General features: G+C 35.9%; 1 protein-coding gene and 1 long non-coding RNA gene across 2 annotated transcripts in view, besides 10 other annotated features; one reads left to right on the top strand and one right to left on the bottom strand.

The window, feature by feature from the left end:
- The window catches only part of LOC101929532 (uncharacterized), a 58,299-nt gene that overhangs the window by 12,326 nt on the left and 23,142 nt on the right, over positions 1-22,831 (bottom strand). The gene's annotated exons all lie outside the window — the stretch shown is intronic.
- Positions 6,558-8,279: a promoter, noted in NCBI's record as "1.6 kb fragment". NCBI's record gives its function as "drives expression in stomach, intestine, brain, and mouse intestinal cell line" and the evidence as "EXISTENCE:reporter gene assay evidence [ECO:0000049][PMID:10516149]" and "EXISTENCE:transgenic organism evidence [ECO:0001131][PMID:10516149]".
- Positions 7,837-7,863: a protein binding site, noted in NCBI's record as "CRE(H); CREB-327 site". NCBI's record gives the evidence for it as "EXISTENCE:protein binding evidence [ECO:0000024][PMID:15828872]".
- Positions 7,870-7,909: a protein binding site, noted in NCBI's record as "G3(H); Pax6 site". NCBI's record gives the evidence for it as "EXISTENCE:protein binding evidence [ECO:0000024][PMID:15828872]".
- Positions 7,871-7,909: a protein binding site, noted in NCBI's record as "G3(H); Prep/Pbx site". NCBI's record gives the evidence for it as "EXISTENCE:protein binding evidence [ECO:0000024][PMID:15828872]".
- Positions 7,874-7,906: a conserved region, noted in NCBI's record as "conserved region; G3". NCBI's record gives the evidence for it as "COORDINATES:sequence alignment evidence [ECO:0000200][PMID:3062372]".
- Positions 7,954-7,990: a protein binding site, noted in NCBI's record as "G2(H); NFAT1B site". NCBI's record gives the evidence for it as "EXISTENCE:protein binding evidence [ECO:0000024][PMID:15828872]".
- Positions 7,959-7,981: a conserved region, noted in NCBI's record as "conserved region; G2". NCBI's record gives the evidence for it as "COORDINATES:sequence alignment evidence [ECO:0000200][PMID:3062372]".
- Positions 8,059-8,096: a conserved region, noted in NCBI's record as "conserved region; G1". NCBI's record gives the evidence for it as "COORDINATES:sequence alignment evidence [ECO:0000200][PMID:3062372]".
- Positions 8,061-8,097: a protein binding site, noted in NCBI's record as "G1(H); Pax6 site". NCBI's record gives the evidence for it as "EXISTENCE:protein binding evidence [ECO:0000024][PMID:15828872]".
- Positions 8,101-8,129: a protein binding site, noted in NCBI's record as "FOXA site A". NCBI's record gives its function as "positive regulation of transcription" and the evidence as "EXISTENCE:protein binding evidence [ECO:0000024][PMID:15828872]".
- On the top strand, positions 8,167-17,532 carry GCG (glucagon). Its single transcript, NM_002054.5, has 6 exons — positions 8,167-8,256; positions 11,227-11,327; positions 12,900-13,061; positions 14,737-14,874; positions 16,244-16,387; positions 17,044-17,532. The coding sequence occupies exons 2-6, from the start codon at positions 11,236-11,238 to the stop codon at positions 17,048-17,050; spliced, it is 543 nt and encodes a 180-aa protein (NP_002045.1). The 5' UTR covers positions 8,167-8,256; positions 11,227-11,235; the 3' UTR covers positions 17,051-17,532.

The raw sequence follows: 22,831 nt of genomic DNA, 5'->3' as shown, positions 1-22,831 counted from the left end.
ATGATATTCCTACTGATATATCTGATATAAGAGAATATACTAGTCCAGGATATTAGGCTCTTAGGTGCTTTAGAAAAATCTATTTTGATCCATTGTTGTTGCCAATAAGAGGAATATTTTTATTCTCAATGAAAGAAAAAAATTAAAATTGAAGTTACACTTATTTTACCCAGTTGCCACTCACACCACTATGTCTCTGTACAAAGCACAGAGGAAACCATAGGATTTACCCCACCCCCGCCACTTATTCCAGATCTACATCTTACACCCCATGAGCACTCAAAACACTTAAACCTGTCATATAAGAAAATCCCTTTTCTGACCCCTACATTTTCATCTTTCAGTTTTCTGCTTAACTGCACTCAGCAGAGCAGCTCTTCCAAGGAGACTTTTTCCAACATCCAGCCTCATCTTGCCTCTTCATTGACGCTCCAATTCAGTCTAGAGGAAACAAAAAGCATAGTCTCTCCTCCTTGCCAAGACCTGCCCCACCACTGACCTCTCGATCTTATGCTCCTTTATTGTCCTCATTGAAATCTGTAGCTGTTGAAAAGGAAGAAAAAGTCAATCGTGTGACATATCCAAAATTCGTGGATCTGATTCTTAAAAAACAGAATCTCCACTGTCGCTTTGGAAAGCAGTTGGCAGTTCCTCAAAAAGTTAAACATAGAGTTAGCATATAAGCCAGCGATTCTACTCCTAGGTATTTACCCAAGAGAATTAAAAACATAGTCCAGACAAAAATTTGTGCATGAATGTTCCCAGCAGCATTATTCATAATGGCCCCAAAGTGGAAACCACCCAGATGTCCATTACTGATAGATGGGTAAACTAGATGTGGTAAATAGCATACAATGGAATCATTTCAACCGTAAAAAGAATGAAGTACTGATTCCTTCTACAACGTGGATGAACCTTGAGAAGATTATGCTAAATAAAAGACATTAGACAAAAAAGATTATATGTTGAGTGATTCCATTTATATAAAATACACAGAACAGGCAAATGTGTATACAGAGAAAGTAGATCAGTAGTCAAGAGCTCGGAAAGAGGGCAAGGGGGAGTGACTGCTGATGAGTATGGGGTTTCTATTATGGGTGATGAAAAAGTTCTGAAATTAGATAACGGTAATGGTGACACAGCATTCTGAACATACTAAAAACTACTGAATCATACATTTTTTAAAAACTAAGCCCAAAAATACTTCCATCATCAACTGTTTAGCATTTAGATGTCTTGCTATCTTAGCTATCTGGAAGTTCTGAATAGATTTAGACAGCAGTCAAAGCTGATTTGAGGAGATTTTGCAAGTCCTCCCAGGACTACTTTGCAAAGCCTTACTCTAGAAAGGTTACAAAGTAGTGGGGTCCTGTATTCGGACCCAGATATGGCTTTAAGCAACTTGGTTGCCTGTTCTAAGCCCCTGTCTTGTTATTTGTAAAATGAAGGCAAAAATATTGAACTCGTTATGTATTTTGAGTATTAGAGAATAATATACTCAGCTTTGCCTTTAGTACATATTCAGGAAATGGTAGTTACTTCTATTCTTAGGCGGCTTGATCCTCATTTCTGAATTGTAAAAAATACTGGCTCTCATATTATGATTTTTAAATCTTTGCCTACAATTAAATCTGTATATGAATTCCAGGTGAGATATCAAAAAAGTAACGAACTAATCAGTAGTTGAAGCTATGTGCTAACCAATGGAAGGAATGACTATTACACTTTACCCTGGGTGTTTGGTCAAATGTGTCTCTGAATTTATAATTTTTATTTGATTCTTTTCATCAATGTCAACTGTCTTCAACAATACATTTATTAGAACAAGTGTCCATAAAAACATTAGAGGCAAATTGATGCTTAATAAATCAAATACATTTTTAAGATATTATTTGCATCACCCTTTTTTCCGCTATGAGTTTTGCCCATTATTTGTGGGGAAAGAATGCAAACAAACTGGGAGGCCGAGGCGGGCAGATGATGAGGTCAGGAGATCGAGACAATCCTTGCTAACACGATGAAACCCCGCCTCTACTAAAAATACAAAAAATTTAGCCTGGCTTGGTGGCTGGCGCCTGTAGTCCCAGCTACTCGGGAGGCTGAGGCAGGAGAATGGCGCGAACTCGGGAGGCGGAGCTTGCAGTGAGCCGAGATCACGCCACTGCACTCCAGCCTGGGCGACAGAACAAGACTCCGTCTCAAAAATAAATAAATAAATAAATAAATAAATAAATAAGCAAACAAAGGTGTAAAAGCCATGATCTTCGACCTCTAGAGTTTTGCTGATAAGTATTTATGGAGGAGAATGCTGGCAATCATGGACTAGACATATAAGAAAAAAAGGGAGACTCTATCATTCTTCAGCCTTAGAAAAGACTTATGGTTAGTCGACGGTGCTTTATGAGGAGAAAAGAATTTTTATTAAGATGGAAGTGAAAAGTCAGTTTTTACATCTTCTGACAACATGGCAACAAAGAAATGATTTACCTTTCAGTAAGAGCCAGGACTAGAACGCAGATATGAAATACTTCTGGCCATAGAAATGTTTCTGACCGCAGAAATAAATTATTTTGGTCATTTATTGCAAAATGGAAATGTAGAAATTTATTCTCCAGGTTTGAAAAATAAAATAGCCAAACAATGAATTGTAATACATTAAATAAATCTCTGCTTTAAAATAGGGTAATAGCCTAGATGGCTTTATGAATTATCCTCCCTTCTATGGTTATATCATTTCAATTTCACCAGAACACTGGGCATATCTTGATAATACATCTGATAAAATACAAATTGGCAATACTGAGTAAGTTTCAGGCAGGGGGTAAGTCTTACTACAAGGTATAATGAACAAGAAAAAGTATTTATAACTCAGGTTTGCATTCTCTGCATTTTCTTAGTATACAGACTCCAAATTTTAAATTTTCTAATGGCTGAAGTTACTTCCTTTTACAGAAGACTTTAAAAAATTGCAATGTTTTAATTGGTTCACATTAAAGACTCTTAGAAGCTTGAAGAAAAAAAGTCTTTCCAGATGAGCAAGAGGTTGGATAAATGTAATGACATATGGTTTGTTTTTTATAGCTACAATATGCGAAAAATAGTAGCATAACACATGTATTCAATGATATATATGTATTTATACATATAAATATATATTCTGCTTGTAAATTATGAGATAAGATTCTTTTGTACAAATATGATTTTGTTTTCTTTCTCTTTCTTGTTCCCTTTAGGAATAAAAATAACAACTGAAACTTAGAACAGTTTTAAACATCTCATTATACCAGGGATCTTGCAAAAGATAAAATCAACGAATGCAAAGCCATGATGCCACACAGTCCCCTGCACAGACTTGTGAGCGGGCTGTCTGCAGGGTCTCGGAGCCTCAGGGCAGGAAGACTGTCCGTTGATCTTATTACTGAATCTTCCCCCCAACCCCAGCAGGCTTCCTCAGAATCCTTCCAGATTGATGGGTCATGAACTGATTTTTAAATATCTCTCAGGAAGGGTATTTCTCACATCCTCTGGCAAACTCAGAACTTCCCCTGGAAGTTCTTCTTTTATTACCGCTGGATCCCTGAGCCCATTAAGTCACTCACAGAGATGTGAAGGACATCTGATTATTACATTGTATGTATTCAATTTTTAACTTTTCAAATGCTCTCGTTAAGTGGCTCTTCAGAGTTAAAACTAATCAATAAAAACTTTTTCCTCAAATGCTATACATAATTTTTCTTTGATCTTTTGAAGGTTCACACCTATTTTCAGAAGACCCTTGTTATGGACCCTTGGATGGTATCTTAATACGCTGTGCTCTTCCTAGGTTAGAGTATTAAATACTGTCCAAGAATAAAAAACAAACCTCAAGCATATCAGGAAAGCTTGACTGGTCACTACTGCAGTTTTATCAAACAGAGCTAGGCAAATCCTAGGGATGGGTATTGAATAACATTGAGAAGAAGGGAGCAGTGATTTTGATTCCATTACCTCTGAGTGGTAGCTTCCTCTCTCTGCCTTCATTGCAGTTGTTTTTCCGTTACCTTGGCCCGGCCTAGGCTACTGTTTTCCATCCAGGCTCTGTTGCCACCATGTGTCTATGAAGTTCACTTATTTTACTTAGCTAATCCTTACTCACTGAAAAGTCTAACTCTTTGGCTTCCAAAGTGATAAATGACCAATTAGTCCTAATGACCAATCCCCACGATCATTCTATTATGGCTTTAACTTTTTAATATGGGAAATTTCAAACATAAATAAAGTAAGCAGAATTGCACAATGAACCCTGTTTATCCATCAGCCAGCTTCAACAATTATCAGTATTTTGCCATGGTTGTGTCATCTGTACCTCCACCCACACCTCAGACTTCTTTTTTTTTTTTGTAACTATTCTTTTTTTTCCTTTTAGGTAAAATTTACATAAATTAAAAATCACGAATCTTAGCTGTACTATTTTGATAATCGGATAAACCTGGTAACACATACCCTTATCATAATATAGAATATTTCCATCTCCCCAGAAAGTTCCCTCTTAGGCAATCCTCTCCCATCCTCTTCCAAGAAACAACCACAGTTCTGAGATTTTTAACTTCAATTTTGCCTGTTTTTGAACTTCTATAAATGGATTCATACAGTATATAGTTGTTCATGTCCATCTTCTTTTATGCAGCATAATGTCTGCAAAATTTTTCCACATTGCTGCCTGAGTCAGCTGTTGCTTAATTTTTGTTGCTGTATGAATTCCGTATCACAAATTGTTTTCTTTCTCTTGTTGATGGATACTTCAGTTAGTTTTTAAGTATTGTAAATAAAGCTTATCTGAACACTTTTTTACAAGTCATTTTGTGGATATATGTTTTTATTTCTCTTGGATAAAATACCCAGGAGTGGATTGCTAGGTCAAAGGGTAATTGTACATTTAGCTCTAAAGTTTTACCTTTTTCCAAAGTAGTTGTACTGTCACTCCTTTTTAAATTACATTTTTTGGTTTGTTTTGAATGGGTAATTCTATCAAATGGTCAAACAATCCAAACCACATAGCAGGTATATAAAAGAAGTATTCTTTGCATCCTGTCCCTGTCCACATGCACCCCACTTATCCACACTGCCTCCTACAGGTAAGCACTTTCATCAGCTTCTTGTCTATTTTAATTTTTTGACGCAATTATGAAAAATAAACACGTATTTCTGCCCCTCTCCCTTCTAAAACAAAAGGTAGCCTACTACATACCCATTCTGCACTTTCTTGTTTTCAACTAACAACATAACTTGGAGTCTTTCCCTACTGGTAAATAGACAGCGTCTTCATTTTTTTTTTTTTTCTAAACAGTGCTCTATTGCTGGCCCCTTGGATTAGTTCCCACCTGTTACTCTTCTACTCAACCTTGTACCTACATCATTACATATCTACATAGCAATATATGTGGGATAAATGTTCAGAATAGTGCTTTAGCCTTACTGGACCAAGAACTATAGGTATTAGTCACTTCGATAAGTATTACCAAACCACCTTTCAAAGGAGTTAATATTTTGTACTCCCATCAGCAACGCCTGAGAGTTCTCCCTACCCATAGACTTCCCATCGCAGCGCACTGTGAACCTGGATCTTTGCCATTCTCAACTATTCCTAAGTATTCCGAGCAGCTACAGAAAATAAACACACAATAACCCCACAATGCATGGTTTTGTGTAAATTTTTAAGAATTTTGAGGTGGTAAAAGCATTAAGGCAAGCATGAGGTCCTGCATGCAGCTTCATGCAGCTGCACAGGTTGTAAATCTGTGGAAATTGTCCTTAGGACTAAACATCATAAAGAAATCATATATGTCACTAGTCATAGACATACAGGGCTACCACTTTCCTTGCCTCACATCTAAATCACTGAATAACTGTATTGATGGGAATAGGCCAAGTAGAGGCTCATGCCAGAACAGTGATAGGAAGAAGATCTGCAAGTCCAAATTGCACTTGAGTTCTGTCTTAATTTCTGACAATTCGGTGTCCATGAAGAAGCCTGACTTGCCCCTCCTAGAGAGGAGAGCAGCACACAATGCAGTGGGGTTCTTATTGCTTATACATCCTGAGAATGCTTACCCTTATGGTACTGGGAGCCCCAAGAATCAGTGTCAGTGGGCTGGAGATAAAGTCACAGGAAATTTTCTGAAACAACTTGGGATAGTCACTTCTAGAATAATGGAAGCAAGTAGAGTGGAGGGAAAGAAAAATGTTTGGTAGTTAAATATTGGGAGAGGATAATTACTGAAAGGCCAGTGCTATGTTGAAGATTTTATATATATGATCTGCAGATCTTCCTTCTTAGGGCTGCTCCACAAACAAGTAGAGTCTGAAAAGGAAAGAGAGAGACAGAGACAGAGAGACAGAAAGAAACATCTGCTCAAATAGACAAATAGACAATGGGAAAAGTAGAACTGAATCTGCCAAAACGATTAAAAATATAGCGAATAGTTGTGTGAAGATTGTAGCCAGAGAGAAAGACAATGTAATCATACATTAAATCAATCCACTCTTTCAAGCTATTACCGTATTTATAAGTATTACTCTCTAGACCGACCTAAGGCTTGACACCTTTCTCTGCTCTTTCACCCCCTCTGCTGGTAGAGTGCCAAGAAGCAGGTCTCAGATCAAGACACCAGCAGTACCAATGAGGAGATAAAGTGAGGCAGATATTTTATGCAGCTGTGCTTCTCAAATTTTAATATGAACACAGATTTCCTTAGGATTTTGTTAAAATACAGATTCTGATAGGCACGAGATTCTGCATTTCTAGCAAGCTCCCAGATGATGCTGGTCCTTAGACCACACTTTGCAAAGCAAGGCTTTCTAGCACCCAATAATCACCAGCACAAAAACCCCTCAATGATGTCTTCCAGTCTGACTTGAAAGTGATCTCTGTGGCCTTCAAGTAGCTCTACATTCAAACGTTGGTCTCATGCACAAATTGAACAGTTAAGTTCATTTGGAATATTTCTCCAGTTGCCTCAATGATTTACCTCCATACAAGTCATCAGTGACATCATGCGGTTGGTTATATTAGAATATTGGAATCTAGTTAGGAAATGTTGTGATGAGTTTGCAATATGGAATAAAATTTTTATTTTAGAAAAGACATTTACCAACCCCTCTCATTTTACAAATAAGGAGGCAGAGACACAAAGAGAATGCGTGACTTGACCAAGGTCACACAGCTGGTCAATAACAGCAAAACTAAAATCAAATTATGCCAACACTACTTCTTATGCTGTCTTTCCAGATTATTTACCATTTTTCTATTTCTCTACAGTGACCAGAATCATTTCTGCTAAATGTCACAGATCATTAAAGCCTGTGTGTCCAGTCACAAAACTCAGGAAACGTGAAAATATGCATCTCATCTCAACAGTTTTCCTCATATCTCATTCTTTTGTAACTTAGTACCCCACTCTCTTATCAGTAAAATTAGATTTTAAATATATATTAGAAGGAAAAAAATACCAGATAATTTCCTGTTAGCATCAGCTATCTTGGATGTTTAATCTTCATTTTGCTCCATCCTTTCTGCCTGAATTCCATTTATTAAAACAGAACACATAGGGGTTTAATCAATATCCTTAAATTTTCCACAAACATAACATAAATAAACTCCACGTTGTGAGGAAGAGAGGATTTTTAATACATATGTGTTGAATGAATGATCATTATTTAGATAAATGAATGACTGAAGTGATTGTTATATTCAGGTAAATTCATCATGGCTAGGTAGCAAACCAAAGACTTGTAAGAACCTCAAATGAGGACATGCACAAAACAGGGATGGCCATGGGCTACGTAATTTCAAGGTCTTTTGTCTTCAACGTCAAAATTCACTTTAGAGAACTTAAGTGATTTTCATGCGTGATTGAAAGTAGAAGGTGGATTTCCAAGCTGCTCTCTCCATTCCCAACCAAAAAAAAAAAAAAAAGATACAAGAGTGCATAAAAAGTTTCCAGGTCTCTAAGGTCTCTCACCCAATATAAGCATAGAATGCAGATGAGCAAAGTGAGTGGGAGAGGGAAGTCATTTGTAACAAAAACTCATTATTTACAGATGAGAAATTTATATTGTCAGCGTAATATCTGTGAGGCTAAACAGAGCTGGAGAGTATATAAAAGCAGTGCGCCTTGGTGCAGAAGTACAGAGCTTAGGACACAGAGCACATCAAAAGTTCCCAAAGAGGGCTTGCTCTCTCTTCACCTGCTCTGTTCTACAGCACACTACCAGAAGGTAAGATGATTATAAAATTGTAAATCCTGTTTGGCGGACAGTGAAGTATTTTTAAGGGATCAAAATATTATAAATTAAAATGTTGTTCTTTCATCTTAGACTTTATTACTAATAGTACACAGAGAGGAACTGAGATGGAAAAGGTTATATCAAATGCATTTACGTGTACTTTAATATAGCGAAGCCGCAAAGCGAGTTGGAAAAATAATTATATGCAAAAATATAAAACAGAAAAAAAACAAAGATTCAAATCAATGCACTTGTTATAATACTTAACTGTTATGAGAGTTGTATTTTAAAATAATTGGTAACATTTTGAAGAATAAATATTTTTCTTGGACTTGATAGATCTGTATACTACTTTGAACAGAAGGCGTCTTTTAAAGTAAGCAGAAATGTGTCCATTAGGGAGCCTATAACAGAAATTGCTTTTTACCAATTAAAATCTCTGGTTTTCCAAAAGAGCAAATTAAATAACATCTTTCAAATATTCAAATTTCAGACATCTATCAAAAAATCAAAGTCCATTAAAGCAACTCTTTGTAAATAAAACATAGCGTACTTGGTGCAGAGAACAAGTGTCATCTATTTGGGGGGTTTTCTTTGGATGCATCTGAGTGAAGCCATACATTAATAACTATTTACTATGTATTGAGGATAAATAGTAATAAAATCTAAAATAGCTACCCTCTGCAATAAAATTTTAATTTGTCTTTTTAGATTAGGCTCCTAGAGACAAAAAACAAATTTACAAAGATCTTTGATGGAGTAAATGATTAAGTGGTGTATTTTTCCATACATACTGAAGACCTATTACATAAAATGAGCTAACCAGTTTGAAAAAGGATTTATATGGACTACAATGCCAACACATTTGGGGATAGAACATAATGTCTTCTTTTTTAGGTCTAAGGTTAATCTTTCTGTAAGACTTCCTACTTATTATTGTTACCATACTTTCCTTTAAATTTTAGTGGAAATTTGTAGTTCTTACAAAACTGCAGGCTCTCTTTAGACTACCTAAAGAGGGGGGAAATTAACTGGAAATTATTTTCTTATTGAATAAGATTTTAATACTAAAATAACATAAATCTCTACTTTCTCAGCAATTGTATTCAAACAATTAACTCTATTCTTTTTTTTTTCACAATTCGATAGACTTTCACAAACAAATAAGTGAGATTTTTAAAGCCAGTTCTTTCTTCAGAAGAAGTCATTTATTGTTGGTAATATTATTAGATACGGAACGCTCACTTCTTTATGTGGTTTATGGTTGTTCTTTCTTCCATCAGCTCCTGAAGTGGCAGGATACCTCCTGCTCTAAATCCTCCTCAATGGAACATAATAGGAGATATTGCAAAACGCTTAGGACTTTGGGTGGAATGAATTTTTTTTTCAGTCTTGTGAAAGACTAAAAGCTTTTACAAGAAACTTTTCAACAGTGGTATAATTTTTAAAAGAAGTGCTTACTTTAATATTTAAATATTCCTGCAAGCACGGATATAACAATTGAGAGTTATAATCAGTAGATACTACCTAAATATATGGCAAGGTTTCCAAAGTCTGCCAACCGGTTAAACTGAAGCATAGCAAAATGTCAAATTGGTAATTTGATGTTGATGAATGAAGAAAGGTGAATATATCATTCCTATTATGTTCCTTTGTCTAATCATCCATTCAATGTACAAAAAACTTAATATTTCAAAGAAAAAAGTTACTGCTGCAGGTATTACAGTGTCTATGTTTTAGTGCCAGAGATAGTAAATACAGCTAATATATTAAGGAAAAGATTGATAGTTTAAAAATGATAATATTTGTGAAATCCTTATTCCAAACCAAATGTCATTTGCTAAAAATATTCATTCAAATTATTTGTGGATAAGCATAGTCAAACTTGGATTGAAATGCCCGCTTCTCAAAGGAAACACCATTGGGTTTCAAAGTAGCCGAGATCCATGACAAAGACGGACTTGACGTTCCCATTCAGAAAATAGAAGCGCTTGCTCTGTGGGGACATTCTGTCCCACATTCATGTTGGTCCCAGTCCCCGTCGACACTGCATCATCACATCCTTAACATACTATGGCTTCGCAGGGCATCTGCTTGTGACACAGGGACAAGCAATCAGGTGTATCCTATAACCAAGTCTATGGTGTCACCAGCAGTGAATGACATGTCCTCATCTAAGTCCAATTAGAAAACAACCTGGGGACTTTTATGACTTTAGAAGCAAGCTCTAATTTTTTTTTACATAGTAATCTCTTAGTTTTTTAGTTGTGATTGTTCACGTTGCCAGAAGCATTAGTTCTTGTTGCAAATTGCTTGTCTTTAAAATGATTTTTTCCCTTTAATTTAGAACAGGTCAAAGCACCCTAAAATACCTCAAATCTGTTGGCCGCTTTATAATTACAAAGTCTAGACCAAGTTACACTATTTAAAATATAAATGAATAATACATCTGAACCGACAGCTGGTATGCCAAGTTGTAGCCTGAGGCTGCTTTAAGATGGTTGAAATGCAGTATAATGTAAATGCTTGGAAGTGAAGGACTATTAATTGAAAGCCAGACTGATAGTGAGGGGGGTGGCATGATGGATAAGGTGCCATTCAGGCTAACCATATGTAGCATATCATCTACAGTGGGTATTTTAAATGTTGATTGTGGACATTTTAATTTCCAGTCTGGAAATGAGCCTTCTAATTATTAAACAGAAGTGTCCCTACATTAATGAAAAAGCTTAATGGTGGAACACATCTTTTGTGTCCTTTTTTGCCTCCAAAAAATCTGGGGAAATAATATAACCCACTATTTAAAATTAAGCTGAAAATATAATCAGAATAAAAGTGATAACACTAGCTTTTTCCTTCTACTTATGATATTTATCTAGTCAAATCTAATTAATTTAGCCTGACATGTTTAAAAATCCTTGCCTGCCCCCCTCACCCTACCCCCATTCTGTGTTCTGACAGACAGCAGAAATGAAAAGCATTTACTTTGTGGCTGGATTATTTGTAATGCTGGTACAAGGCAGCTGGCAACGTTCCCTTCAAGACACAGAGGAGAAATCCAGGTATTAAATCCGTAGTCTCGAACTAACATATCAATATGGTTGGAATAAAGCCTGTGAAAACTATGATTAGTGAATAAGGTCTCAGTAATTTAGAATAAATATTCTGCACAATGATCAAATGTTTAAAGTATCCTTGTGATAAAAGCAGACTTTGTTGGAGTGTAGATCAGAGTTTGTGTTTTTTATAATAAAAGGGGAGAGAAATGTTGAAAAACATGTTACAGGGGAAATTATAGCTCCTTGAAATCTACAGATGATCCTATCTATCAATTCATTACTCACACACTGCATAATAGATTACTTCAATTATTCGCACCAACTCTTTTCTCTTTTTTCCTCCTTTAAAAAATAGCATTATTTCTTCCTAAATGTAAAAGCCATACATGTTCATGATGGAAAGTATGAAAAATATGCAAAAAATATTAAGTACTCAAAATTCCTCTGTCCAAAGAAAGCTATTCAAAGTAAACAAATTTGGTGTATTACTTTCCTGTGTTTTACGTAAACTGTACATAAATATCTCTTGGCTCATTATATGGCTTTGTATCATGCTTAATATCTTAACATTGTATTATTATACACTTTTATTATATTATTAAAAATATTTGTTAAACATGATATTTAATGGCAGCATACTGTTTCATCTCATAAATGTACAATATTTGTTTAGCTACTTATTTGGGAAGCTTAAGAGGTCTTAAAATTTATTCCACAAAGAATGTTGCAAACAACATTTTATATACACACTTTCCTACATTTCTTACTATTTTTTTGCACATAGGTTTCTAGTTGTAGAAATACTGTGTCAAAGGGCCTGAATGAGTTTAAACCTTTTTTAATATCTTGCCAACTTGCTTTCCAGAAAGTTCATACACATGCACACTCTCATCAGCAGTATAGAAATACTCCTCATAATATCCTCCTCAGCATTCAAGCTTTGCTAATTTCATAGGTAAAAATAGTATCTCATTTCTGAGTATTAATTACATTGACTATTTTCCCATGTATTTACCATGCCAACCAACTGTTGATTAGTGGCATAGGGATTATTCCTGATACAGTTTCAAATTAGCAAGTATCCTTTTTCTTGCCTTTCTTTGAACTTCTAGTTGTCTTCCTTCCACTGCTAGCCACCATATAACTAGATAATTGTGCTGTTTTCATATTAATATATGCAAAACAAAATTGGGAGCTTAAATCTGCTGCCCAAAGAAATGATTTGGGATTCTTCACTCTTTTAAAATATTCAAGTCACTACTCTCTTCTGTCACTATTAGCATAATCATGAGTAGATTAATTAGTAGAAAAAGATTTGTTTAATCCTATTTCAGAAAAAAAGAAGTCAGTTGAGAAACATGTTTCTAGAATTCAGAATAATAGCGTATGCAACTATACTAAAACGAAGGGATTCTCATGACAAGCTAAGGAAGATCTTTCTAAACTACCTATTGAAATACTCTAGATGCCTGCCTTACTGTTTTATATGGTCTTGTATTTTGTAGTGAAGATGCTTCTCAAGTGAGTCTACTCTTGAGGAGAGATTTATGTTGTACCAATCACTGTTCTTCACAGATCATTCTCAGCTTCCCAGGCAGACCCACTCAGTGATCCTGATCAGATGAACGAGGACAAGCGCCATTCACAGGGCACATTCACCAGTGACTACAGCAAGTATCTGGACTCCAGGCGTGCCCAAGATTTTGTGCAGTGGTTGATGAATACCAAGAGGAACAGGTAAGAGTCTAAGCCTGGCTCAAAACTTGCTTATAAATGTATTAAATAGGTCTAAAATTTCTCTTGACATTATTAAGTTCTTATGCTCGTCAAATAGTGCCCATAAGCCCTGATCATTTTGAAGATGTTTAGGGTTGGGGATGCTCTCCTTAGTATTATGCCCCCGAATGTCTTAACCCGCACCCCTCTAAACCACTTACCCAACCTCCAGTGTGACATAGCCTTTAAATTATTTTCCCAGTGGTAGTCCTAGCAATATTTACTTGCTTACTCATTTTCCCTTAAAGTGAAAGTTTACTTTTGTGGACCTACGAGGTTACCAATCTAATTTCTACCAAAAGATAGAGCAAATATAACATTCTTTCGTGGGGTTCAAACCCAACATTAAAATTATCCCCCAGCCAAGGGTAAGGAATGGAAACAGATGCATTCCTTTTCTTGTAGAATAAAATCCAAGACATGCATTTAAAATTACAGCCTAGCTGCACAGCATAGAGAGAGAAGGCAGCAAATAAGAACACAAGCCTATCGTAAGGCATACATTTTAATGTTGGATTTTCTTTGACGAGTGTTGGGTTTTTTGCTGCATCTAGGCTACTGGAGGAAATTATCCGCAAGGGTTTCACAGAGATGGTGGAATTTCACAATTTTTTTGGAGGGTGGCCCACAAGAGGAAGGGAGTTATGCATAGAAAGTAGCTGAAGAAATCAAAAAATCAGGAAAAGGACATAGATTTGTCTGGATAGACTGGAGAAGAGAGAGAGTGAGAGTAAGAAAGGAGAGAGAGAGAGAGAGAGAGAGAGAGAGAGAGAGAACAAGCAAGCAGGAGGAATAGGAGAAACAGAGTTGCTAATCAAAGGTTCTTAAAGTAGAGGGTACAGCCACAGGAAGATGGCTATCATGGTCAGAGCAGACACTGGGAGAGGTCCCTCTTAAGGACTACAGTGAAAGGTGAGAAATCACAAATTTATAAAAATGCAAACAACTGTCCTCATTTTCTAGAATGGGAATGCCACAACTTGGTAAATGGATGTAAAGCAATCCTCACACTCAAGCAGTGTTGCCTATGTGTTTAAAATGAGGTGATATGGGGTAATATGTGCCAGGGAGACTGACAGCAGCTGATGGCTCACCTCCACGGTGCTCTGCACACACTTGATGTTGATATGGGGTCATCTTCTTTGCTTTCCTTGTTACTAGCAGATCACACATTTTCTTTAATCCATTATCAAGTGGTCCTTTTGGTAACAATTCAAGATGGTCCTTTGCTTTCCCTCAAATCAATTAACTAACTCTGACCCCATACTTACTAATAACAAACAGCTGCCTTGCTTGCAAGTCACATAGTGCAGTGGATAGCCTGTATCCATTGAGACTGAAGTCAAAGGTAAGGCAGCTTTAATAACCAATGACATACATAAGCAGGGGATTGCAGATGGGTATGCTGGGAAGGGAGGGGGAGCTTTAGCCCACCGATTGTTATTAGCTCTCTTCCACCAGTTTCAATCCAGAACATTAATGTAGCTTCACGACAAATCCCCTAGCAACCCTCATCTCCTAAACTCCCTAAGCCCCTTCTACATAGAATCCTGAACCCAAAGTTGCCACTGCTTATAGGTGAGAACCATATTGCCAAAGAGACAGATCTTCAATTTAACTTTCACATTTCTTTCAGGAATAACATTGCCAAACGTCACGATGAATTTGAGAGACATGCTGAAGGGACCTTTACCAGTGATGTAAGTTCTTATTTGGAAGGCCAAGCTGCCAAGGAATTCATTGCTTGGCTGGTGAAAGGCCGAGGAAGGCGAGAGTAAGTCTGTACATTCTTATTTGACATTTTTTGCCTTGATGCAGAAAATTTAAGACTACAGTTATCTATATATGGATCTGGATTACAGAAGCAATTAGTAGTCTTGCAAAGTAAGGAAATAATTCCTATTGATGAAAAACAGTATATAAAAGTTAAACCCATTTTGTTTTTGGTACTAAGTATTAATAATAGAGCCAAACAGGTTACATTTGTATCCCCTTATAGTTGCATTATAATTAGGTATTAAATCTTTGGCCAAACCAGGCCACCTCTGAGAGTAAATAGGATGTTTTTAATAACTACGCTGAGACAAATTTAAACTAGGACTGTTCTAGGGGAGCTAGAGATAAGGAAAAAGAAGAAACAGTGCTGAAAACTTCAAATATGTAAAGAAAACATATAATATTTAAAGCTTAACTTTAAACATTTACATATGTGATCAACATATATTTATATATTAATAAATATTCAGATAAAAATGTGATGAAGACTGAAAGTGACCAAACCTAAGATGTTGATAAAATGATATTCAAAGTACAAATAGGTAAAAACATCCATATATTTAACTACATATCCAATTTTGTATGGGGCTGTCATATAGATATCTACTAAATAATCTAAGTTGAAAAACAACCAAGACCATCAATTACTTGCTTAGATCTTAACACAGCCAAACAGACCCCTGAACCATCTCATTTTCTTCCGATTTTTTTTGGAGAGATGAAATATGAGAGACGGAGAATTTATGTTCAACTCTGATTTTTAAATTAGATTTAAAACAAGCTTACTGAAATTTAAAGAGATCTCAAGATGAAAGAGAACTAGAATAATGGTTGGTTTTTAAAACATTAATAATTAAACTTATAAAACCAATGGTAAAATAGTTTCTCACTCTTGACGATATTTTGCAGTGTTTTAAAGGGATACCAAAAATTCTGCAATAGTAAACCAGTGAAAGAGAAAAATCTAATATAGATGAAGCTTTAACCTCTTAATACTGCATTTTGCAAGGCTGTTCCTGCAAGCTCTGGTTTTATAGGATATGATATATTTAGTTGAATTACAGACTAATAATCTCAACAATAGTTTCTGTATTGTCAATATACTAAAATCTTCAAAACAGCCTAGAAGATTGAAAAGGGCATGAAATTATGCAGGCTTGGTATTAGATCCCAGCTCTGCTACTTTCTCTTTCCAGTAGTCACTGGTCCACATGGGTTTTTATCAGGTATTTCACAGTACACCCTTTAAAAACAGAATCCTTTACTGTTTCCTCAAGACACTTGTGCATGTTACCAGTGGTAGACAATCTGTGATCATTTATTGAAAATATCTAATCAAACGCTAATTTTAACACTTATTTTCTTAGTTTCCCAGAAGAGGTCGCCATTGTTGAAGAACTTGGCCGCAGACATGCTGATGGTTCTTTCTCTGATGAGATGAACACCATTCTTGATAATCTTGCCGCCAGGGACTTTATAAACTGGTTGATTCAGACCAAAATCACTGACAGGTGACTGCTTTTTAGTTAATTCTGAAAACCATCAAATTCTCATAAGTACTGATTGTCATACTGCTGCAAGCTGTTCCCCATGTAGGGGGAAAGTCTATAATCTCTTATTATATAGGAAATAATTATGCATGTTTAAGTCATATAAGAGTACATCATTATGTTTGTTTTGTATCATTACAGTTTGTATCTATTTATTCATTTATTCCAGAAACATTTACTGAGTGTCTATTAGAGTCAAGAAGCTAGAAACACAGATAGAAATGAAACATGGGAAATGTTACATCATTCACATATTGTCACATTAAAAATTGCTATGTTGAAATTTCAGCACAAAGGTGAAATGCAGCATATACAATATTACATACTTAATTTAATAAGAAGAGTAGTGAGAACTGGACACCGAAAAATACTTATCTTGATGAATTTTGATTTTTTAATAATTATTCATAATTGTTTGATAGCATTGATGAGCAGACTTTAGGATAAATAATCTTTAAATGAAAATATTTTAAGAGTCCAAAGGATGGAGGGATTTATGGACAAAGGGATTAATAAACAACTTTTATCAAAATAAATCATTGAAATATTTTCTGGATAAGTTAATGATATCATCTTATTATAATTATGTTAAATCATTTTCTTTTTTTAATCTCTAGGAAATAACTATATCACTATTCAAGATCATCTTCACAACATCACCTGCTAGCCACGTGGGATGTTTGAAATGTTAAGTCCTGTAAATTTAAGAGGTGTATTCTGAGGCCACATTGCTTTGCATGCCAATAAATAAATTTTCTTTTAGTGTTGTGTAGCCAAAAATTACAAATGGAATAAAGTTTTATCAAAATATTGCTAAAATATCAGCTTTAAAATATGAAAGTGCTAGATTCTGTTATTTTCTTCTTATTTTGGATGAAGTACCCCAACCTGTTTACATTTAGCGATAAAATTATTTTTCTATGATATAATTTGTAAATGTAAATTATTCCGATCTGACATATCTGCATTATAATAATAGGAGAATAGAAGAACTGGTAGCCACAGTGGTGAAATTGGAAAGAGAACTTTCTTCCTGAAACCTTTGTCTTAAAAATACTCAGCTTTCAATGTATCAAAGATACAATTAAATAAAATTTTCAAGCTTCTTTACCATTGTCTGATTTCTCTTTACGTCCCCCTTTGTCATGCCCCACTCCTTCCAAGCACCCCTGTTTTCTAAGCTGCAGTCCACAAGTCAAATTTGGTGTATAGGCATGACTTCATGCTTCAGATGGCTGCACAGAACTTTTAACATTTTGAACCAACAATGAAAAATCAGGGTCTTTCATAGAAAACTATTGATTTGTAGTGTCTCCTGAAAAAGTAGGTCATGAGGCAATATTAGACCCAAAAGGCAAGTTTATTCTGTAGCTAAGTAACAGCTGCCTCTTACCAAAGGATCAGGTGCTCCCCAGCTTGTGTAGGGCCCCAGCACATGCCCAGGCGTGCTCACACACCCCACCTACATAATGGGGACATCAAGGAATTTACTTCTGGCCCACTTTACTTGCATACTGCACCTGCAGGCATTTGAGTTTGCCCATCATGCCTTGTAGCCGTTCTCCTTGTCCTGCAATGGCCAATACCTTGGGACAGTCTGATAGTGATTGCCAAGCCTGAGACTTTTCTTTGCTGGATTTAGCATTGCCAACTCTCTTTCTCTATCTCTATAGTGCTCCCATAGGGTAGACTTACCCACCAATAAGATTCTAACGTTTACAGATTACTTATATACTTTGATCAGCGGTAGTAAATTTGAACTAATACCTGTAATGATCACTCTTACTCGTTTACATACTGATAAGCATTTCCTGAAATGGATAGAAATCTTAAGACCAGAATTGTCTAATTAAGGTTACTGCTAGCTGTAGGATCCTGAGCATGTCATATAAGCTCTCTGTAACTAAGTTCGTCATGTGAAAATATAAAGTTAAAATTGTCCAGTCACCATCATTTCTTAAGTCTTTGATTATAACTGTTTTTTTGCCTTACAACGAGGTTTCAGTAAAAATAGCGTCCTGAAGTATTCATCCTAAAATGATTGTCACGGAGCAGCTCGGGGCAGAAGGTACCACTGTATGTGTCAAAATTATGTCTGTCAGCTTCTCCAGAACCAAAACCATCATATCTTCCTCCAAAACGTCTCGGTGAGGGCAGCTCACAGGCCACAAAAGCATATTCACACATAGGGTTTTTGTTTGTTCATTTTCTTATTTTTTAGGTAGAAGATGGCTATGTTGATTGTTAAAGTATTCAACTGGTAAGATCAAAGTGTAGCATTTTTCATAGTTTTCACTAAAGGAGCTCAAGGCAACTTTCAGATGTTCACCATGTTTTCTTTTATGCAAAGTGTTGTCTTTACCACCCCTACACCAATTATCCACAGGTGATCTAAAATGTCCCATTTATAACTAAAATTTGATTTGGAAACTGAATATATACCTCTGTGTGCATGTATGCGTACATGCGTGTGTGTGTATGTGTGCGTGTGTGTGTGTGTTTTCATGAAACCAAAGTCAAAACCTTGAGAACATCTCAGGACACACACAGTGAGGCATCAGCCTTCAGAAAAGGGTGCACTCATACAAAGGAAAGGAGGTGGTCCACTAAGAAAACTGGCACATAGCGGAGGTAAATGGAAGGGAAAGCATAAGACAGTGAATGTGAGTCAAGCCCAAAAGAGCGCCAAGGGTCAAAAACAGAAAAGATAAGTCTGTCCGGAAGTTCAAGAGGCAAACGAAAGGATGTCATTGAAAAAGGAAGCTAAGGAAGTGAGTGAGGAGTCATTCAAGTGCAGAAATTAAGTTAAACATATCAGTTAGGTGTTATGTTTGACTGCGTGTAATATAAACCCAACCACAGAGACTAAACTAATAAAAGGGTTATAAGTTTCACAAAATCAGAAGTCCAGAGGAAAGAATATCAAAGGTAAACATGTCAGGGATAGCTCGTGGTCTTTTTCTTTCTGTTCTGCCATCACTAACAAATGGCTTTCCTCCCATGGTAACTCCAGATTGAAGTGTGGCTGCTCCATCTTCAGCTCTTACCTACTTTCCAGGTAAGACACAAAAGGAAAAGGAGAAGGAGAAGAAAGAGAAACAGGAAAAGAAGCTAAAGACAAAAACAAGAAGAAGAAATGTAGGCAAGGAGAATTGACAATCAGGAAGGTGATGTACCAATTTAGAGAAAGCAAAACATTCCCAAAAAATACCCAGCAGATTTTCAATTATATCTTGTTGGCCAAAAATGTGTCCCATGACCCATCCTGGCTACAAGGGAGACTGGGAAATGTCTCTCAGCTGGATATATTGGGTCCCATAGAAAATTCAGGATTCTATTGTAAGAATAAGGGAAAGAATAAATATTATACAGACAATTAAAATTAAAGGGCATATTTCCACAGTCAGAGTTGAAATACCCAGGGCTCACTTTTCTGTTATGTTTGTAGTATGGGGATGTGTTGGCCTGATTTAAGTTCAAGCAGGTTTCCGGAACCTTGGACTCCCTAAGAATAGAATAAAAGTAAATTATCCAACAAAGAATTATTGAAGAGGCCAGGCGCAGTAGCTCACGCCTGTAATCCCAACACTTTGGGAGGTTGAGGTGGGTGGATAATTTGAGGTCAGGAGTTCAAGAACAGCCTGGCCAACATGGTGAAACCCTGTCTCCACTGAAAATACAAAAATTAGTTGGGCGTGGTAGTGGGCACCTGTAATCCCAGCTACTCAGGAGGCTGAGGCAGGAGAATCGCTTGAACCTGGGAGGCAGATGTTGCAGTGAGCTGAGATCACCCCAATGCACTCCAGCCTGAGCGACAAGAGAGAAACTCTGTCTCAAAAAAAAAAAAAAAAAGACAGAATTATTGAAGAATATTCAGCATAAAACTTTTATAGCATTTTATATCCTTAATTATAGACAAAGATTAAATAATGAGCATGAAGGAGTAAAGGAATCAAGTTGAATGAACATATAATATTTTGTTAATAGAAAATGAGGAGGTAGATATATTCAAAAATATTTAAAATATATTTTTGAATATAAAACATTATAGGATTCTTGCTGGAGATGTCCTCAAAGTATTTCCATGTGAGTCTAATATGGGAGCACAGCCTTGATCCTCAAAGAGTGGACCACACAGCAGGTCAGATAGCATCAATATCCACAGGGAAACAGTTACAAAATGCAGAATGTGTGGACCCATCCTAGAGGCCCCATATCAGAATCTACATTTGAACAAGATCCCCAATTGAATCATATATGCATTGAGGTTGGACATATTCTGGACAGAATAGCCCCTCAACCTTTCCAGTGTTAACATTTTTGCTACACTTGTGCTGTGGGGTGACCTGCTCATTGCAGGCTGTTGGTCAGCATGCTTGGATTATTTGTCATAATCACATGAAAAAAAATATTATTTGATAGGTCAAATTAGGAATACTCAAGAGTTTTAAAATGAAATTATTCCCTTTCTGCTGAGACTGAGTATACACTATTTGCTGGTCTGTTACCCTTTTACTTTCTCTATTGCAAATTTTGCACGTTTTTTGCTTTTATGTTCTAGAGTCTGAGTGTTTTTATTCTTTTGATTGCATTGTTTCAAATAAAGAATTACAGATTTTTCACTAAAAAAAAAAAAAAAGAAAAGAAAACCTGCTCTTCCACATAACCTTTCCCCAAGTAGCACTTAACAGGTATTTTAAAAATTCTTCTGCAGCCTCCTGATCTGCAGAAGCTCCCTCATTTACCTGCAAGTTTAACACTTTTCATGCTGTATCACCTTTTGAAATGTACAAGCCAGCACTACCTACAAAGGGTTTAACATTTTCTTGACCTTGGGTAATGTGACTATACAGTTATTTAGCTTTCAACCTTACAGCAGTGCTGTCCATTATGCTTTTATAAATTAGTAGTCATCTCATGAATCCACAAATTCAGCTGCTTCTTGAACTTACAGACACTGGACAGCACTTCAGCACTACATTTAGGAGTCTCTTTATTTTTTTTCTTGAGACAGGGTCTTGCTCTGTTACCCAGGCTGGAGTACAGTGGTGTAATCATGGCTCACTGCAGCCTTAACTTTCTGTGCCCAAGCGTTCCTCCCACCTTAGCCTCTCAAGTAGCTGGGACTACAGGTGTGCACCACCATGCCCGGCTAACTTTTGTATTTTTTGTATTCCCCCATGTTGCCCTGGCTGGTCTCAAACTCCTGGGTTCAAGTGATCTGCCTGCCTCAACCTTCCAAAGTGCTGAGATTACAGGCAAAAGTCACAGCAACCAGCCAGGAGCCATTTTTAAAGACAGAAATCACCAAAGAAAGTAAAAAAATGTGAAAAAGTGGTACTGAACTGACTGCTCAAAGGATACTTGTTTATTGTCTGAGAGCTGAAACAATAAGGCAGAGTGTCACCTTTTTTCTAACTCAGCTGGGATTGTGTGCATTGGGGGACTTAAGTTTTTCACCACTCTGTACCTGTCTGTGAATAAACATGAAAGTGCTCTGAGTATTGATTTGGGGTTAAAAATAAATTTTAGTGAGTAGGTGAGTTTGCAAATATGGTATCTGTAAATAATGAGGATCAACTGCAGTTCAAACAGAAACCAGAGCAAGGTGGCAGACATAATGCAAAATATAATAAAACTCAACATATTTTGTTGTAAACTAAACATAAGTGGATTAAATATTCAAATTGAAGACAAAGGTCATCACCTGAGTACAAACATTCAACCAACAATTACAAGAAATATATTATGTATATAAAGACATAAAAATCCTTTTGTGTCTTTATTAAAATTAAGATTAATTAAAATAAAAATATTCTAAAATTTATGACATGCAAATACTAACACAAGAAAGCTTATGTGGATGTATTAATATCAGAAAGTAGACTTTTTAAAAACTAGCATTCTACAGATGAAGAGGAGCATTTAAAAATGATAGAAGAATCAATTCACCAGTAATATATAATCATTCTAAATATTTATGTAACAAATAACATAGTTTTAAAAATAGATGAGGTTTAAAATGGCTGAATTTTTTAAAGCTGACAAATCTGTAATTATAGTGGAACACTTAAACAACTTGTTTAATAGCTGACAGAGAAAACAGAAAAGTCTGTAAGATTCAATAAACACTATCAACAAGATAAACAATATTTATAAATATCATACCCAATAACAACAAAATGAAAATTTTTTCAATGTGCACAAATAATATTTACCAAGATTGACTTTATGCTGGATTTAAAAATTTCAACAAATTTCAAAGACTGAAATCATTCAGACTATGCTCTCTAACCACCATGGGATTAAGCTAGAACTCAATAACAGAAGATATCTTAAAATTCACAACTGCTTAAAATTAGACAATCACTTCTAAATAACCCATGAGTCAAAGAATAAATCATA

Source organism: Homo sapiens, chromosome 2 (assembly GCF_000001405.40).
Source record: "Homo sapiens chromosome 2, GRCh38.p14 Primary Assembly".
Lineage (NCBI taxonomy): Eukaryota > Metazoa > Chordata > Mammalia > Primates > Hominidae > Homo > Homo sapiens.
Note: the sequence above shows the minus strand (reverse complement) of the source record. Positions and strands in the feature narration are given on the sequence as shown.